Source organism: Homo sapiens, chromosome 8, assembly GCF_000001405.40.
Source record: "Homo sapiens chromosome 8, GRCh38.p14 Primary Assembly".
Taxonomy (NCBI): Eukaryota; Metazoa; Chordata; class Mammalia; order Primates; family Hominidae; genus Homo; species Homo sapiens.
The window spans coordinates 105,615,974-105,637,036 of NC_000008.11; the positions used below are offsets into that span (position 1 = coordinate 105,615,974).

General features: G+C 35.8%; 1 protein-coding gene across 10 annotated transcripts in view; it reads left to right on the forward strand.

The window, feature by feature from the left end:
* ZFPM2 (zinc finger protein, FOG family member 2) overlaps positions 1 to 21,063 on the forward strand; it is a 486,102-nt gene that overhangs the window by 297,536 nt on the left and 167,503 nt on the right. For all 10 annotated transcript variants that reach the window (NM_012082.4, NM_001362836.2, XM_047421634.1 and 7 more), the window contains one exon: positions 18,273 to 18,384. In NM_012082.4, the coding sequence (NP_036214.2) occupies positions 18,273 to 18,384 (112 nt within the window). The remainder of the gene's footprint in view (positions 1 to 18,272; positions 18,385 to 21,063) is intronic.

Here is a 21,063-nt window from a genome sequence, read left to right on the forward strand (position 1 = left end):
GACAAATGAGGCAACATACAAAAAATTAAATAAGTACTTAAGATTATGGTATTTAAATTTAAGGCTTTTTATAGCATATGGTGTAAGAAGAATTTGCATATTCTGAAATGTTTATACTAGATAAGGCATTCCCAATTTAGAGTCCAAGGAAGGGAAGTAGCATAATTAGAAACTCAATGACCAAAGCCTTTTCAAACGAATTCCCAAATGCCCTACAAGCAAGTTTTTACATTTGATAAGTACTAGTGAAAACAATACATAAAAAATCTGAAGTAACTTAAACATAGTAGTGTATTATTTTATAACCAATAGATACAGCTTTTCATCATGTAAGGGAAGATTTTACTCAATTTCCATTTAGTTGCCATTAAAATCTTTTCATTTTGCTAGCAGTGGTAAAGTTTTCTCCCCAGGAACAATCTATTTACTAGATACAAAGTAAAAAGATTAGTCAAAGTAGTAATTTTTTTACACATTTATATTTATGACACATTGATCATTCTGTTAAAGTTGGATGTAATAAATAGGCATAGGTCTTTTCACAGAAATTTAATCATTTCTTAACTTTTGTCTCATTTACCCAAATCAGTACACACAATAATTATAAATGTGCACTTACTGTGTTTCAGGTATAAGTCTAAGTGATTTATAAGCGTTATTTAATATTTGCAACAGGTTCATATGGTATAACAATAATAATAATAATAATAAGGTAACCAACGGACAGAGAAGTTGTCCTACTTGATCAAGATCCACACCATAGTTTGGGTGCGGTGACTCATGCCTGTAATCCCAGCACTTTGGGAGGCCCAGGCGGGTGGATCACCTAGGACCAGGAGTTTGAGACTGGCCTGGCCAACATGGTGAAATCCCATCTCTACTAAAAATACAAAAATTAGCCGGGTGTGGTGGTGCACATCTGTAATCCCTGCTACTCATGAGACTGAGACATGAGAATCACTTGAACCTGGGAGGTGGAGGTGGTAGTGAGCAAGATCATGCCCCTGCACTCCAGCCTGGGGGACTACTGAGCAAGACTCTGTCTCGAAAAAAAAAAAAAAAAAAAAAAAAAAAAAAAAAAAAAAAAGATCCACACCATAAATGGGTAGCAAATGTTGGATTTAAACTCAAGCAATGTGGCTCTAGAACTTAGCCACTGTGTTTTCTGCGTCGTTTCCTCATCATGTTCATCACATTCTGGAAGCATTTTGTGAGTATGCCATAAACAATACTTAAATTATATTTGAAGTATTTGGTTGCAGACCCACTGAATCAAAATAACTACCTTTTTTTCACCTCTGCACTATTTCCACCCTGTGCTCTTTACTGAGGCTTCTTTTTGTCTTCCCAGTTTAAACTTGAACTTCTGCTGGCAGGTGAAACTGCTCTGTCAGATTTTGATCCAGTCTACCTGTGAGCAACACCAATCTAATCTGAGGAACATACTAATTAAACCCAGCTTGAAGTATGTGTTTTAAGTGTAGAATCCTCCATCAGTGCGCCTAGATTTGAGTGCAGATTAGGTTCCCTAAGTGGTTGCATCCAGAGGTTCTGAGGAGTGGGATAGACCTGCAGGAATGAAGACCGGCCAGACCGCCTGCTCAGATTGCATACTGATGCCTCACCACAAAGTATAATGTGATGAGGCTGTATTGTGGTGAGGCTGTGTTATGGTGAGGCTGTACTATGTCTGTTGACCATGGTGTTGAGCACCAAGATAATACCATTCTTCATTTGTTCTTGTGCAATCAGTGCTGAATTGAGTGAATTTTAACCGAAAGTCATCTTGAATCTCATCATGAATTCTACTTATGATTGGAAACATTTTTATAGGCTTTTTAAAATCTATTCTATGTTATAATCATCTCTACAGGTATAAAAATGCCTGCAGTCATAAAAATAAAATATTAAAAAGTATTCGCTGTTTTTCAATATTTTAAAATCACTAACTAGACTATGTTCGGTCTTTTCCCCTTATTCCTACTTGATGTCTGATATTGATATTTAGTATCTCAACTAGACTTACAAGACCCCAAACTGTGCAAATGTGAGAAATAATTCACCACAAAAGCTATAAATTTCACAGCTCGAAAAACCCTGAAGATTATTAATGAGGCACCATGTAATTAGCCTATACAAAGTGCAGCTAGGAATCATGCATAATGTAAAACAGAAACTGCTAACCACTGACTCATGGAAGATCATTTAAGCTAGTTTTCATGGACATGAAAAATTGATATTTAACACAATTCCTAAGGAGAGTCTCATTGCTTTAACACCATAGAAAGAATTATGTTTCTTATAGATTTGCTAAGAGAAAAATAGAAGGCAGTTCATGGCTAAGGCAATTTCTGGCAATGTGAATATGGACAAATTGTTTGACTTTTTAGACTCTCAGTTTTTATCTTTCCAAAATGGGCATAATGATCTCTTTCATAGAATTGTTGTAAAAATTGATTAAAAAAAGTAATGTGGCACCTAGAATTTTAGTACTTCATTATGGCTTAATAAAATCTTATAGATCATATATTAGAGCAATGTGTTTTCTAGCCAGCCAAAGTTCTTGTTTTACTGAGAATTCTGTACTTTTATGGAAACACATTTCTTTAGAAATACTAGAAACAAGCATTTGCTTACATGGAATAACATATCCAGTGCTGCTTAAGCACATTGCATATATTAACTCATTTAATCACCAAAATGACCCTATGACATAAATGCGTTTATTATATTTTATTTTGGAGATGATGCAAGTAAGATGCAGAGTACTTAAGTAACTTGCCCAAGGCTATACAGCTATGTAGTGATGGTGATGCAGTATAAATTCAATCAGTCTGGCCCCCAAAATACAAAATTTTAAACTATCTTTTTACTATTAATGAATAAGGCATGCTGAGATAATGAATATATGCTAAAACTGATATATACATATTCATCTTGGTTATATTTCCCAAAATATATTTTCAATTTATTTTTAAGATATACTTCATTTAGCAGTCAGAAATTAAATGAATATATATTAAAATGATGTTTAATAGATGCAGAGGTGCATGGATTAAACCAAAATATTCACATAAAAGATCATTATGATTAGGTTTTAAACATAGTTATAAAAGCTATAAGCCATATTTTTAGAGACTTTTATTTTAAATTGGAGACGGCCTCAGTGTTATTAACTATAAAATTAAAGTGTGGTTCAATTTGTCATGAAAATCCTTTCTGTTAACCGCTTCTTATCTATTACTATGTTGTTGTTTGGTCATGGACCATCAAATATGTGTGTTTGGTCATGGACCATCAAATATGTGTTGCACCTTCCAAATGTACCATTCATAAGCTTAAAATATAATGAGCTTGATTATTAATATTGACAATCTACGTATATGTCATTTAGATATTTTTATTATTAATATATTGTGAACATCTTGAAGAAATGTAACTCATATTTCATCTCTCTATTCTTGAATATTCTACATAGTAGATAACCTATAAATGTTACTGAATAAATAATGAATATACTTAATTTATTTAAAATTATAAAATGATTATTTTATGATTTTTTAATTTTTTTAAATCATACTTTAAGTTCTAGGGTACATGTGCACAATGTGCAGGTTTGTTACATAGGTATATATGTACCATGTTGGTGTGCTGCACTTATTAATTCATCATTTACATTAGGTATATCTCCTAATGCTATCCCTCCCGCCTCCCCCCACCCCGCGACAGGCCCCAGTGTGATGTTTCCCACCCAGTGTCCAAGTGTTCTTGTTGTTCAGTTCCCACCTATGAGTGAGAACATGCGGTGTTTGGTTTTCTGTCCTTGCAATAGTTTCCTGAGAGTGGTGGTTTCCAGCTTCATCCATGTCCCTACAAAGGACAAGAACTCATCCTTTTTTATGGCTGCATAGTATTCCATGGTGTATATGTGCCACATTTTCTTAATTCAGTCTATCATTGATGGACATTTGGGTTGGCTCCAAGTCTTTGGTCTTGTGAATAGTGCTGCAATAAATATACGTGTGCATGTGTCTTTATAACAGCATGATTTATAATCCTTTGGGTATATATCCAGTAATGGGATGGCTGGGTCAAATGATATTTCTAGTTCTAGATCCTTGAGGAATCGCCACACTGTCTTCCACAATGGTTGAACTAGTTTACAGTCCCACCAACAGTGTAAAAGTGTTCCTATTTCTCCACATCCTCTCCAGCACCTGTGGTTTCCTGACTTTTTAATGATCACCATTCTAACTGCTGTGAGATGGTATCTCATTGTGGTTTTGATTTGCGTTTCTCTGATGGCCAGTGATGATGAGCATTTTTTCATGTGTCTGTTGGCTGCATAAATGCCTTCTTTTGAGGAGTGTCTGTTCATATCCTTTGCCCACTTTTTGATGGGGTTGTTTGATTTTTTCTTGTAAATTTGTTTAAGTTCTTTGTAGATTCTGGATATTAGCCCTTTGTCAGTTGGGCAGATTGTAAAAATGTTCTCCCATTCTGTAGGTTGTCTGTTCACTCTGATGGTAGTTTCTTTTGTTGTGCAGAAGCTCTTTAGTTTAATTAGATCCCATTTGTCTATTTTGGCTTTTATTGCCATTGCTTTTGTGTTTTAGTCATGAAGTCCTTGCCCATGTCTATGTCCTGAATGGTATTGCCTAGGTTTTCTTCTAGGTTTTTTATGGTTTTAGGTCTAACATTTAAGTCTTTAATCCATCTTGAATTGATTTTTATATAAATTGTAAGGAAGGGATCCAGTTTCAGCTTTCTACATATGGGTAGCCAGTTTTCCCAGCACCATTTATTAAATAGGGAATCCTTTCCCCATTTCTTGTTTTTGTCAGGTTTGTCAAAGATCAGATGGTTGTAGATGTGTGGTATTATTTCTGAGGGCTCTGTTGTGTTCCATTGGTCTATATCTCTGTTTTGGTACCAGTACCATGCTGTTTTGGTCGCTGTAGCCTCGTAGTATAGTTTGAAGTCAGGTAGCGTGATGCCTCCAGCTTTGTTCTTTTGGCAGATTATCTTGGAAATGCGGGCTCTTTTTTGGTTCCATATGAAATTTAAAGTAGTTTTCTTCCAATTCTGTGAAGACAGTCATTGGTAGCTTGATGGGGATGGCATTCAATCTATAAATTACCTTGGGCAGTATGGCTATTTTCACCATATTGATTCTTCCAATCCATGAGCATGGAATGTTCTTCCATTTGTTTGTGTCCTCTTATTTCATTGAGCAGTGGTTTGTAGTTCTCCTTGAAGAGTCCTTCACATCCCTTGTAAGTTGGATTCCTAGGTATTTTATTCTCTTTGAAGCAATTGTGAATGGGAGTTCACTCATGATTGGCTCTCTGTTTGTCTGTTATTAGTGTATAGGAATGCTTGTGATTTTTGCACACTGATTTTGTATCGTGAGACTTTGCTGAAGTTGCCTATCAGCTTAAGGAGGTTTGGGGCTGAGACTATGGGGTTTTCTAAATATACAATCATGTCATCTGCAAACAGGGTCAATTTGACTTCCTCTTGTCCTAATTGAATACCCTTTATTTCTTTCTCCTGCCTGATTGCCCTGGCCAGAACTTCCAACACTATGTTGAATATGTGTGTTTGGTCATGGACCTCAAATATGTGTTGCACTTTCCAAATGTACCAATCATAAACTTAAAATATAATGAGCTTGATTATTAATATTGACAATCTATGTATATGCCATTTAGATATTTTTATTATTAATATGTTGTGAACATCTTGAAGAAATGTAACTCATATTTCATCTCTCTATCCTTGAGTATTCTACATAGTAGATAACCTATAAATATTATTGAATGAATAATGAATATCCTTAATTTCTTTAAAATTGTAAAACGATTATTTTATTATTAGTTTTTATTATTATACTTTAAGTTCTAGGGTGCATGTGCACAATGTGCAGGTTTGTTACATAGGTATACATGTGCCATGTCGGTGTGCTGCACCACATGAAAGAGGGCATCCCTGTAAAATGATTATTTTAAAAGCAGAATAACCTAAATAACACTTTCAAAATAGAAACAATATAGAGAAATCCAAAAGTAATGCTGATTAGTTATTACTAATTGGAATTATTTTATATATAAGGTTATATTATTTATCTAGAAAAAAAACAAAAAGAATTATTTATCTGGCAAAAATAAATAAATAAATAAAACAACTTGGCCCAAACTTCAGTGTAACACACATGCAAATAATTGTAGAATTTAACTCACTGGTATTTCCAATCAGCAATTTTTAATTGATCAGTTTGTCATGTTAGCATTATTTACAAATCCTTTCCAACATACGCATTGATGCTTTTATTCGTATTTCTATTATTTTTATAAAGAATGTGATAGGATAGAGAATTGAGAAAGGAGTTACTAAAATGTAATTTTCTCTTATGACTGAGAATATTCTCCAAAATCTACCTGATTAAGAAATTAAATATTTTAATATAAAATTTCAGGTTTACAATGAGCACAGAGATCTTGCCTTTCATAAAGAGCATCCCATAGAAAACTAGCAACAACAAGATTTAAGACATTTTCCAGGGGCACTATTAATAAAGGTTTATCTCATTTGATTCTGACTTCTTAGCATGCTCCATTAGTTGCCCCAGGCTGACAGAGATGCTGAACAAAGGTCCTTTGGGTTGGGAGCATGTTGAGTGGATCTGTTTGGTTGAAGTCCTTTTCTCATTGTCACTCCCAAGGAAAGCAAGGAAGCAGCCTGGCTCCAGAATGAAGACAAGTGACTTGGGCACTTGGCTTTTACTCTGTAAAAGTGCAGAATTAGTATAGTCCTTCTGCATCTGTTGATTTGGTGAAAAAACAAAAACAAAATAAAACAAACAAAACTGAAAACCACTCTTATGGTTCTGAATCCTGATATTAATATAGTAAATTTTAAAACCAAATATACAGTTTTTCTTTTAACTACATGTTCTTTTCATAATGTGTGTTCTTATACCCATCTATAAACATAAACTATTAACTTGCTTATATTTTGAACTGAAAATATACCTGATATTACAATATTTGAATTGATGGAAGAAGTTTTACTTTAGATACTTAAACATTTATAATATTTCTGTTACTAAAATGTCTCACAGATTAGATAAGCTTTGTTCAGCTACTCTAACACTTCCACACTTTTGCCAACTACTTTGCCAAGATTTTATTTTTTTTGCACCTGACTTTCAATAACTTGACTTTTAATAATTTGTCTCAGAAAATCTGCCTTCCCAAAAGATACTATAGTTATCACAGCACCTATGATATAGTTTAATAATTTCACACACTTTTTCCCTTTGGAGGGGGATCCCCTTCTTATTTCCATTCTTCTAGTTTTGCCATAGACTTCTTCCATTAACTTCAAATATTGTAATAACAGGTATATTTTAAGTTCGAGATATAAGCAAGTTAATAGTTTATGTCTGTAGATGGATATAAGAATACACATCATGAAAACAACATATAATTAAAAGAAAATTGTATATTTGCTTTTAAAATTTACTATATTAATATCGGGATTCAGAATTGCCCTCTTTTTTGGCAGAGGATTGGCTGAAACAGTAATAAAAAGAAGTCAGCCTGAATGGTGACTGAGAGATTCATTACATATTTCAGTGGATTCATTCATGAAAGATGGACACATCTTAGCGTCTGAAGATGACTTTGTGCAGGGTAGTGTTTTCTCTCTTCCACAGAATACCTTTGGGTAATTCTGAAATACAGACTGTTGAACAGAATTGACCACTGTATTTTTTTTTATAGTGGTTTAAACAGGGCATTCACAGTTGAGTTAGTATGTACCTCTGTTAGATACTCCTTTTATTCTTCAGGCTAGCGTTTTTATTTTAGTCACATCACTTTCTCTAAAAGGGTTAAAATATCAAAATGTAGTAAGTTAAAATGGCTTTATTTAGCAATTGGCCAATGCAAATAGTAAAGCTTCCTTAAGTAAGTATAAGCTCAATGTGTTGAGCTTTCCTATATATTTTCTTCTCCATACTCAGAATTTGAGTGAGATTTGATGGGAATTCTACAGTAAAAAGTCTTATAATAATATCGTTATGAAACTGTAGTACATATGAGGTCATCTTAACAGAGAAGGAAGCTGAGACCTTCAGAGGTTAAGTGACTGGCCTCAGGTCACACAGCTGGTACCACAGCTCTCTGGATCCCTGAACCCTGCCACAGGTTTATGTGACAGCCTTACGTAAGAAGGGGTACTCGAGAGCAATTTACTTTTCTCTTCCCAGAGATTCAGCACTGACACACTTTTTGCACATTGCACTAGGTGCAAGCCCAGAAATTCTGCCAGGAGCAAAACAACACTCCTTAAACACCCTGTGACTTTCAGAGCTGTATAAAATAAAAGGTTGAAGTTAATGATTGCCAGTTTGGAGGGAGTAGTTCCTCTTCGGAGCCAAATGTATGTGGGGAACAGATGAGGCTGTGGGAGTGAAGTTGGCAAAAGGGAAAGAGAAATGAGTCTATTCTTTCTGGAAAATGAAAGTATAATAAATATCTGAATAGCTTAGATGTTTATTTTCATCTAGAGATTCTTCCCATTTGAAAATGAAATATCTATATCTTTAGAGTGAGTAATCTTGAAGAATAATTTTATATTATTTTTTAAAATATCATGAAATGATATTTGGAAGCAAACATTGTTTTTAATAGCCCATATCTGTAGAACTATTTGTATTTTCTCTTCTAACAGGATCATTACTTCTTATGCTGAAATTCCTATATTCAAGCAGTGACTCATGTTAAGATAATATGTTCCAACAATTTGAGAACTAAAAGCAAATATACCTCAGAGATAATGATTATTTAAATTTTTGGTTCATAGAGATAAAACTGTCTGACATAAGGAGTATGGACATAATAGCCAAGAATTCTATCATTTTATTTCACACTCATTTTGTTTTTGAAAAGTCTCTTATCATATTTGAGATCCCACATACCACATTCTACTCGAAGACATTTGTTAGCAGAAGTTCTCTGGAATTTCACTCTCATGCTGTTCTTACAGGATATTTTGTAGAACTGTGCTCCAAGAAAACTCTAATTTAATGAAATCTTCCTGGAATCTCCATTCATAAATCTATTCTGTGCCTAATTATATAGTGTAGTGGTTCTCGTTATAGGATGTTGCTAATGTCTTTCCCACTTGTCCTTTTCACATATTTTCTAATTTAGGAGTATTCTTAATATCATTGAGCTTCAGTTTCAAAAGTAGGTATAGCATATAATTTTTTTCAAGCAATGCAACTTTGATAATGTTTTAAGAAGTTGAGTTTTGTTATTTCCCAAACAATAAACACAAATAAGATAGGTTCTTTTAATAGGAGTTTGGAAGTTTTCTAAGTTACTTGCTGAAATCTCCTTATATATAGAATCACATATACACACATGCACACTTTGCAACTCTCACTTAAAGGACATCCCAATTTAATTCAGTGGCCATTTTACTCCATTTTTCAATAGAATCACAAGATTTTAATTGAAGCAAGTGACATGGCTCGCTGTGTTTGGTACTTAACATTAACTGGTCATGGGGAATATTCAGGTGTTATCTGTGAAAACCTATTTTTTTTTTTTTCAGTTGGACTTTCACTCTTATACCCCAGGCTGGAGTGCAGTGGTGCGATCTCGGCTCACTGCAACCTCCGCCTCCCAGGTTCAAGCATTCTCCTGCCTCAGCCTCCCAAGTAGCTGGGATTACAGGTGCCCACCACCAAACCTGGCTAATGTTTTTTGTAATTTTAGTAGAGACGGGGTTTCACCATGTTGGCCAGGCTGGTCTCGAACTCCTGACCTCAGGCGATCCACCAACCTCAGTCTCCCAAAGTACTGGGATTACACGCCCAGCCTGAGAACCTGTTTTTATATCACATCAATAATGTTGACCCTACAGGATCACATGGAATGGAATGATTTTGTTTATGTAGTTTAAAATGACACTCTATTTTCTGGAAAAAAAAAAAAGAGAAAGAAAGAAAGAGGGAGGGAGGGAAGGAAGGAAGGAAAGAAAGAAAGAAAGCTCTTTTGCCTCAATAGCATCAAGTGCAAACTTTCACTCGGTTTAACTTTCAAAAGCTTAACTTACTAAATGACATTTACTAAAAAGCACTATTTTGTTGGGTGGAACTTATCATACTAAAAGTTGTATAGTTCCAGTCACATTAATAATGTTGAGACTCTAGACCATGCCAGGATTACTGAAAATTCAATCGTATAAGGTCTTGAATTATTCCTGGGCATATTTTCCCCAGTCTTAAGTAGTCCAAGATTTTAAATTGTTATGCCCCCATAGCTGTTGGTAAGGGAAATTTTCAAATTCAATTCACTGTCCCTAGAGATTTCACATAGTTAAAAGGAGAGTGATACAATATTTTCCTGACTGTCAGATTGAATTTGAATTGAATTCCAGGGTGGAGAACTGCTTGGATACATTAACTGAAACTTTTGCTGTGTAAAATTTTGTGTGGTTGTACAAGGTCAAATCGCGTACAGCACCATTTTTTCATTTAAATGTGGGGAATAATGGAGTTGGGGGGTTGGCAGTGGTGGTGGTGTACAATTCCTAAGGGCAAGGAAATGTGTGTGCGTGTGTGTGTATGTGTATGTGTGTTTCTGGTTCTCACAATATAAATGTAATGTCTATAGTAATTTTAAAAATCCTCTAGGCCTGTTGTCAAATATGCTTTATAGCTGAGAGAATATAAACAGCTATGAATTTTTAAAAGAGCAGTATTTAGCCAAACAGGCCTCAGTGCTTTTGATCTGTTACCCAGTTAAGGAAGCCACACACCAAAAGCATTTTCAACAACATGAAACTATATCTCACGGCATTGGCATGAGATTCTCTAATGGTATTTTTGTTGTATTTCCTAAACTAAAGTCAATGGAGGCCAATTTTTTAATCAAATAACACTTCTGTTAAATGGATGTAATGTAAAAATAAGCTCATCTCATGGGAAGATTTTCCTATGACTTTTGGCTCTTTCTAACCCTCCTTTTGGAAATCCTCAATATCTTTTTTTTCCAGCAAAATTTGGAATCCCTGGGACAACATTATGTCACCAGTTTCTTGGGTTAGTCCTCTATTATTTACCTTTGGGCTGTCGACTTTTATCTCCATTAACCTTTTGGCTTGACTATAAACATTTATTGAAGGCTTCCTCCTTTGTCGGTCCAGTAACTCTAAAGGTTAGTGAGAAGTGGATGCTAGTCTGACCTCTCTCATCCACATTAGATGATTTTAATTATTCCTAAGAAATGACACTTTTGACCCATTTTGTCCTTGTCAAGTTTGTCTAGTTGTGGGCTGTCTAAACGTGAAACTCTGGGTTCAAACCGTGTCCAGGAGTGTAGAATTTTAAAATGTACAATGTGGAGCTTCAAAAGTGCACAAGATTTCTTTTTTTTAAAAAAGAAGACATTCCAGTTTAAGTGAAATTCAAGGCTATTGTTATGTACCTTGAATTGATTTATTACTGGAAAAGACTGCCTAGATACAGACAAAATACAAACTTGAACCTGTAAAAATTCAATATTTCAAAATGGAAAAAATGGAGAAAAACTTTGTATAAGTGAGAATAAGCTAGGTTTTGCTGAGGCTGTATGCAACCCTAATACTACAACAGCTTTGTACCTGAAAAAGTTCATTTCTTTCTCATACTCCCTGACCACTGTGTTTGCCAGTCCACCTCTTTGTTTCCATGATTGCTTCAGCAAAAGCAAGGCATAATGGTGAATTGGCCATTGGATCTTACGGGTTCTGTGTAGGAGTGACACAAGCCACTTCTTCAATTTCACTGGTCAAGCAAAGCCATGTGGCCAGATCCAACTTTAAAAGAGATCTGGAAATTGAAGAGTTGGAACTAACTGATCAGTAGCCATAATGACTATCACAACCTTTCAGTTAGATAATAAAAAGTTTTTGTCTGGACATCTATGCTAATCACCACAAATATGACCAGAGCCTGAGAAATAGTGGGATTCAGTAAATGCTTTTTTGTGTGTTTTATTTCATTTATTTATGTAGCTATTCAGCAAAAGTTTGATCTGCATCTGTAGAGTACTAGGTACTTTGCTAGTTACTTCATTCAAAAGCCTCTGAAATAAAAATTAGCCCCACCGTGCTGATGTCCATTCTGAAGTTCAGAACACTTAAGTGGTTTTCTAGTCATAGATGCTACCAGTGGCATGTGTCAGGATTCAAACCTAGAAAATGTGACTCCAAAAACAATAATGTCCTTTTGTTATACTTCAACTGTAAAGTCAATGATGATTCAGGATATGATGTATCTGATTTTATAAGCAGGAATTATTACAGTCACCATTGTGTATTTGCTTGTATTTTAAAGCAAGAACACAGTATCTCTAATTGACGGGAACAGGAGGCAGAGAAATTCTAGGCAGAAAAGGGTGGGTCGCTGGCAAAAACCCCACCCTCAAGCCAAAAAGCCTGAAACTGTGGCCCAAAGTGAGAACTTCTATCCCTGTTTTCCCACTCAAATGTTGCCTTTTCCTCAACCACCTACACTGTCCCATCATATGCCTATAAAAACCCCAGCCTCAGCTGGTAGACAGGACTACGGCTGGATGTTGGAGAGAAGCAGCTTGACTTCAAAGGGATGGTTTGATGGTGCAACTTTGGAGAAGAATCTGGCCAGAGACGGTCGGACTTCAGGGGAAGATTACCTACCCACCCCGTCCCCTTTTCAGCTCCCCTTCCCACTGAGAGCCACTTTCGTAGACAATAAAATCCCCTGCATTTACCATCCTTCAATTTGTTCATGCAACCCCATTTTTCCCAGACCACCAGACAAGAGCTTGGGAGCCACGAGTGAGGATACAAAAGGATGTCACACTGGCCCTTTGCCCTCGCTGGTGATGAGTAGCATGAAAAAGCAAAGGACCCACTGAACTGTTAACAGTTAAGCTGACTGCGGACAGCAGAGCTAAAATAGCACTGTAACAAGCCCTCTTGGGCTTTGGGAGTCACAGTCACCCCTGCCTGTATGCTGCTGTGGGGCCTGCATGGAGTTCATTCCTGCCGGCACTAAAGCATCTGGCTGCTTCCTGCACCTGCTCACCTGTGCACTCCTGCAAGAGGTGGAAAACAGCAGGTCCAAGTGAATGGAGTTTGGTCCCACTGGCACTGAAGCGGCTGACTGGTTCCAGTGCTTGTTCACTCCAGTTCCCATACTTGTTCGCTCATGTGCTCCCTCCCGCGAGGAGATGAGAGCAGCAGGCTGAATAAATGGGGCACCCCTGTTGCGAGTCCTGTGAAGGGGTCAGGGAAATATCCTGCTTCATAATGACTTATAAATAAATGATCAATGACTGTGGAATAACAAGGTATATTTGATGTTATTTCAACTAACGGGAAGCTATTTCACACTTTTGAGCACATTTGATAAGAAATTTAGTTATTTTTGTTTTAACTGTAATCAATAAATGTGGATATCTTTTGTGTTAGCTTTCTATTGCTGCTGAAACACACTACCATAGACTTGAGGGCTTAAAACAACAGAAATTTATTATCTCATATCCTGTAGATCAGAAATATGAGTACAGATTTTGCCAGACTAAAATCAAGGTGTCAGTCTTCCTGATGCATTCCTTTCTGGAGGTTCTAGGAGAGAATCCATTTCGTGCTCATTCATGCAGATTGTTGGCAACATTTGGTACCTTGATGTTGTAGAGCTGAAGTTCCTGTTTCTTGCTTCCTGTAAACTGGAGGCCATTCTCAGTTTTTAGACACCACTACATTCTTTAGTTTCTGCTCTCAGTCCCCCATCTTTAAAGGTAGCAAAAGCAGATGGCATTTTTTTCATGTTGAATCTCTTGGATTTACTCTTGCCTTTCACTTCTAATTCTAAGGATTTATGTGATTAGACTGGGCCCATCTGGATAGTCTAGGATAATCTCACCATCTCATGGTACAAAAAGTTAATCACCTCTCTGAAATACCTTTTGTCAAGTAAGGTAGCATATGCACAGGTTCCAGGGGTTTAGGAAATAGGCATCTTTGGGAGACCATTTTCCTGCCTACCACACCTTTTATATCTGTTCTCTTTTCCCAAAATGTTGTGCCAATTGTACCCATTGTAGAGTATGAGATAAAAATTTTGGCCTGACTTTCCTTGTTTGTGATATCTGAGAATTAATGAACTTTAAAGTAGCTTCTAGCTCTTAGCATTCTAGAATTTTATGAATTCTTATGTTGGAGACATGGGAAGTGAACCTAATGATCAATGTGGATATTATTGTTATTTTCTATTCATGGATTTTTCTGGAGTGTAGATTTCATATAATCCTGGCTAACTCCTTCCTTCTCACACTTGGTAATCTTCTTTGAAGTCAGTCAATCTCTACAAAAGTTGACTTCTTCAGAAAGAAATTGACTTACCTCCTCAAAGCTGTAATAACTGGTCCCTTGAGATTTTTTATCTACTTATTATTTACTTTACAGCTTGGGTATAGCTTTCAGCAAGTCTTTGCTCCATTTTTTTTCTTCTGCCTTATTGATTTGGACTACAATAAATTGTTTTCTCAATTTTTTAATAAATCCAATTCTACTTGTACCCAGGCAAAATAAATGTTTGCCAGAGTTTTAAAATATATAATGCCTAACTTACCATTAGGAAATACATGAATTGATTACTTTTATATTTTACTCATATTATCAGTTCATCTAATCCTTAATTTGCTTATGTAGAAAATGGAGAAAATGTTAGTACCTAACTTCTGGAGTTGTAAAAATCAAAAAAGACCATTCAAGTGAAATGCTTACCTCAATAGCCAACAAGTAAACCATTAATATTGTTTTAGTAGTAGTAGTGGTGGTTGGAGGGAGGGGGGAGTGGAAAAACTCATCCTAAATTGCCCAAGACTTTTCAATTTTAGCATTGAAAGTACAGCCTCCTGGGAAACCTTTCAGTTCCAGAAAAACCAGGATGGTTGTTCACCCTAGGGGTGGTAATATTTGGAAACAAAGCTAATATAAATATTGGCTGTGCCCTCTGCCACCTACCAGCATTTGACCTAAGGGATATTATTTAATTTTTCAGTTGCAATTTTCTTATCTGAAAATATACATGAGGACTAGGTAAGTAAGGGAAGTACCTAACAAAATCCTTGCACAAGTAGCCTAAATAGTAGTACCCTTATTCCATCTCCCTAAAAAATGTTTATTGGCTTCCCTCTGCTTACAGAATTAAGCACAAGAAGTTTTACCTAATACATCAAGGTCTTTTAAAATCTGTTTATAACCTGCCCTGCCAGATACATATGCTATTACGTTCTTTCCATTTATCAATAACAATAATATTAATGATGATTATGATAGATAATACTTTTCTAGTGCTTTCTACATAGCAAAAAGAGTGCTAAAGGCTTCATAAGAACTTTAAACACAGTCCCAGAACTCCCATTTCCTGCACACTTGACTTTGTTATAGACTGTTCAGCCTTTGCCCACACTGTTTCCAGCAACTGCACATTCTTCCTGTTTATCCTTTAAAATCCTGCCCGAATGTTGCCTCTTCTATGATGTGTCCCCAGACTGCAAAGGATGGGAGTTTTTCTCTTTTCCTCATTGACCCCGAAACAATTGATACATGTCTTAGCACTTCCTACCATGGTACTTTTCACATTATATTAAACATTTTTATTGTATCTGTATCCTTCACCAAAAAAGACATACTTATATTCCTAGCACAAGGCACAGGATTGAGTTTGCTTATTTGTGAAATGAATGGAAGATTATGGTTTTGGAAAATCAATTGATTTACTTTATACTAAAAGATTCTCTAAAGAATGTAAGTGATCACTATCTATTTTTTATATTATCTATGAAATTATTATAAAAGTTAATTTACTGTGTCGAAATTCATAGGATTTTTAAGAACTATGAAACAGGTTGATTAAATAATTTAAAATAATTATTTTTCGTGAAATAAGATAATCTGGGAAAAATAGGCCAGGTGCCTGTTTTGAAATCGATTATGTAAAATCAGAAAAGAGTGGATGTTACAAATAAGTCACTGAGTGCCCCCTGCATAGGCTTCCTGAAATGGTGGACTCCTTCCTCCGACTTGTTCTGCCTGTGCCTGGAGAGCTGCAGATCCTTTGGGGTTTTGTTTTGTTTTGTTTTGTTTTGTTTTGTATTGTTTTGTTTGAGACAGAGTCTAGCCCTGTCACCCTGGCTGGGGTACAGTAGCACGATCTTGGCTCACTGCAACCTCCACCTCCTGGGTTGAAGCAATTCTCCTGCCTCAGCCTCCCAAGTAGCTGGGATTATGGGCATGCACCATCACACCTGGCTAATTTGTGTATTTTTAGTAGAGACGGGATTTCACTATGTTGGCCAGTCTGCTCTCAAACTCCTGGCCTCAAGTGAGTCATCCACTTCGGCCTCCCAAAGTGCTGGGATTGTAGGAGTGAGCCACCACGCCCGACCACCAGATCCTGATCTATGGATTTATCTGTCAGTCTGATAGTAAAAGGAGAGCAAAATATGCATCATTAGGACCTAATACTTAATTGGATTTGGATCACTATCATTTCATATAGAACAAGTTTGTTTCTCCTCTAATTCTATTTTGAAAATTGAAATACAAAATAATGCTTCGTCAGACTGATAACAATAGGGATAACTTGATAACATTTTTGTCTATATTGTTAAAATATACGTAGAATATAAAATTACATCTTTTTCGCAAGGCTTTTAGAGAACTGCTTCATGGTTATCTTTGCCAACTATTAAGATACATAGTTGAAAAATTAAGACTCCACGATGAATCAAAATATAAATATTAAAGATTAATGTATTAGAATTTGTTATACTTGATTTAGTTATAGTTTATACTCTGTTTTAATATTTGAAGTAGTTTTTTTTCAGACTTCTTTTTAAATCCATCATGGTTGATTTTTCCATTAAACAGTATATTTTATAGTAGTTTTAACAGTTGTAATATAATTGATATTTTAATAAATGGGTCAGCATTCATTTTATGCATAGTTTTCAGTACGGCTTTGCAGTTAACAATGGATCAGTGTTTTATGTGCTATCATTGTTGTCATGAGGCAGGTGAAATGGGTTTTCCAGATTCCTGAAAGTTTTGAAATCACCAGATTATGTGGAACTCCTCAAGTGAATACTTGTTAAGGCCAATTTGGGAAATTTGTGATAGCATGCATCATGTGGAAAAGTCCCAGAATGGGCTGAGATCTCTTTGGCAGGATCATATCTAGGTGAAAATTCAGTTCAAAAATTACCTTGAGACCCTTGTATTGTGCTCTGTGTTGTGGTTTCATGATGTTTGATATACAGAACATGGACTGGAGAACGATAAAAGTGAATGCCGGTTCACGGTGACTCATCGGGAAACACAGTCTTGCTGAGACATACTTATTTCCTCCCCAGTTTATTTCCAGCCATGTAAATTTATCCACGGAGTTTTACAGATAAATAATTTGGATGCCAAACAGCCAAAAACTGTGACTATTTTGAGCCTTCTATTTAACATGTACACTAAAAATACTTTGTTAGAATTATAGCACTTGTCTCCGTGCTTCTGTGGTTCTCAGAGCAAGGGATGTCATGCTTTAGTTGCTCTGCATTTGAATTTATTCACGATTCCTCTTTTACAGTCTTTCTGGAGACAATGTATGGTGCATCATTAGCATTATTATTATTTCAGTTACAGTGAGACTACATATCCACACTTAGGGGGTTGGGTAGATTTCATTATTCATTCAGAATAAGTTCTTACTCTAATATAAATGTTGCTCAGGACAGAGCTTTGAAATGGATCCTGATTCTTTAAATTCTTTCCTGTCTGTTTCAGGAAATAGTGAGATCCTGTTGATAGTAAAGTACAATGTGTCTAAAGTTCACTTCTAAACACTCTGCTCTTTGCAATGAAAGTCATCTGCATTCTCTTTATAATTCAGAGCCACAAGAGATCTGTCTAATCTTGGAGATCTGATTCAGTATCATTTAGGAAAAAAAAAAAATCCTTGATAATATTTCTACCATTCAGATTAGTGAAAGCAGTAAAGCTTTACAGCTTCTGTCGTCTTAAAAAGATATCATGAGACAGGGGAATAAGGACTTGGATTATGGTTTGGGAGATTTAGTTGTTTGTAAAAATAAAATGATTAGTACAGTTATTATTCAAGTTTTTAATCAACGGAAGCAAATGGCATCTGTTTGTTATCATTCTTTCTACAGAAGACAAAGGCTCAGGTCCCAATGGTGCTGACTGCTGGTCCCAAGTGGTTGCTGGATGTGACTTGGCAAGGAGTGGAAGACAACAAAAACAACTGCATTGTGTACAGCAAAGGTAAATGCAAGATTGTTTCCCTCTCTCTTTGGAAGTATTAAAACCTGAGCATTGCAAAACAGCACCAGAAGAGCTGGAATGGAAGTACAAAGTATAAATTGATCCTCTTCCTTTTTTCCCATTTGAGTTCCTCTAATGTGTATTTTCAGTAAAGCCACCTGTTTTTCTTTTTTTTCTGTACAACATGAAACAAAAAGTGACATACCATTAATTTACTTAGTGCCTTATACATTTACCTAACCCTGTATTTGAGTGGCTTGACTAATATCTTTCTCTTGCTGTTAGTATCATTGATAGCCAGGTTTGACGAAACTCCAATTTCTCCTTTTAGACATTATCTATCAAAAAGTAAAATCCTTCTAAATTTAACAATTTGTGTCAAGGTGCATGGTCCAAGAGGCTCTACATTCTAGCCAGTTTCCTGAAGTCATGCATGATGAGAGGATAGCTGGAAATGAAACCTTTGCAAAGACAGAATTCTTCCCCATGGTGATTTCTGAAGGGCAGGAGGCAAACTCTAAAGAGGAAGCTGATGACTTGCAGGGCATTGCCTTTGATTTGCTCAGTGTGACATCAACCCAGACTGTGTCATGTAGCTGCACCCTGGCTACAAAGGAGCAGCAGCTCCATGATGGCACATTGTGGGGCTGGGGCTGACTGTCCATAGCACAGGACCTTCCTCACGTGTGGTGTAGTTTTGGGGCACTTTTCTCCACATTCAAGTCTTGGTCCTAGCTCTGTACTCTTACAGTATAATCCCTAATCTCACTTTTTCATAAATATTACAAAACCTTGTGCTTCTCATGTTTAATTTCTCTTGGCTTTCTTTTTAAACCAAATAGACCTACTGAGATCAAAGATGTATTTGCACATTGAACCTAGAAACCATAAAAGCATACAAGGGAACAAGCAAATAAGCACCCCATCAATATATTAACATATAAAACACTAATCATAACATCAAAGACTCTTAAAAACTTGCTAGAAACAATTACAACTTGTTCTATAATCATTACAATTTGTACACTTATAAGAGGATTGTCTCTTAACTACCATAAGCCTTTGAAAGTTGAAACACCAGAAAGAGGGAATTTGCAAGCTAAAAAAAAAAAAACAATCTGCACACCAGGATCTGATTATACTTTTTTCCTTCTATAATTACTGGTCCCATACCCACTAATTTTCTAACCCGGAATACCTGTGGTATGCTGGTGGGAGCTTTCAGCTAAAAGGGATGTGAGATTTTCTCAGGATATGCCAATATAATCTATCAAAGTGAAAAGAAATGGTATAGGGAATCAGTTTACCAATGCCGACATTCAGAATACAAAAGATACCTTGGAATGTAGGACCACTTGTTGGGGACAAATTTCTGTTGTACAATATTTTATCTTCATTGTATCAATATAGTATGGGGGAAACATGGCAATACCTGGTCCCCATTTATGATTCAAATTCATTGCATTTTTAAATCAGCTATTCTTTTAGTAGAGATAATTGTTATATATTTTGAGTATCCCTTATCCAAATTGCTTGGGACCAGAGTGTTTCAGATTTCAGATTTTTTTTCAGATTGGAATATTTGCATGTACATAATGAGATATCTTGGAAATGAGACCCAAGTCTAAATGTGAAAGTCATTTATGTTTCATAAACACAAATTATACATAACCTAATGGTAATTCTATACAATATTTTTATAATTTTGTGCATGAAACTAAGTTTTGACTGCCACCCATTGCATGAGGTCAGTTGTGGAATATTTCACTTGCGGCATCATGTTGTTGATCAAAAGGTTTTGGATTTTGGAACCATCTGAAAGATTTTGGATTTTCTGATTAGGGATGTGAACCTGTATAACAGAATTGGAATTCTATGTTTAGTGGAGTATGCTAACTTGAGCAAACTTATGTGTTTATGGTTGGCTATACCTTATATCTTTTTGCAATAAACAACTTAGAGTAATTAATAGAAGCTTATTAATTCATTAATTAACTGGTAAAGCATGCATTGAGTCCAACTATGTGCTAACCTTGTACATTGATGATAATAGCCACCATTTATTGGGCACACCTTGAATTCTCTTCTTGATGCTCCCATGCCAAATTGTATGTGCTTCTCTCATTATTCTCTATTACCTTGTTTCATGATCATGAATATACAGTTTATGTGTCCAAAAAGGAGTAAGTAAAAAAGTTTAGCTGTGATGGCTTGCCTCTTTAATCTACTCTATATTTACTGAGGGCACAGATTGTGTCTTAGTCACCTTTCTATTCCTGGTCTGGCATGCTACCTGTACAAGAAAAGCACTAAGTAAATATAGATTGGTTGACCAGATGAACAAATGATGAATGGTTGCCAGACACTGAAATAGACATTTCACATACTGTGATGATGAACTGTATGAATTGCTGCTATTCAATAATGTTTTAACCTGTAAAGGGTAATTTGGCATCGTTCAACTTACAAGAACAATTGGTTTTGCAGTTCAAATGCCAGAACTGTAATAACTACTGCGTATGCTTTTTAAAGCTTAATACTTATTTAATAGCTCCTATGAGATAATCAACATACTACCCCATTTTACAAAGGTAGATAAAAGACTTAAGTAGGGTAAATAATTTGCCATGGTCACATGGCTAATAAGTGATTGAGTGGGATCAAGCATACATTTGTCCA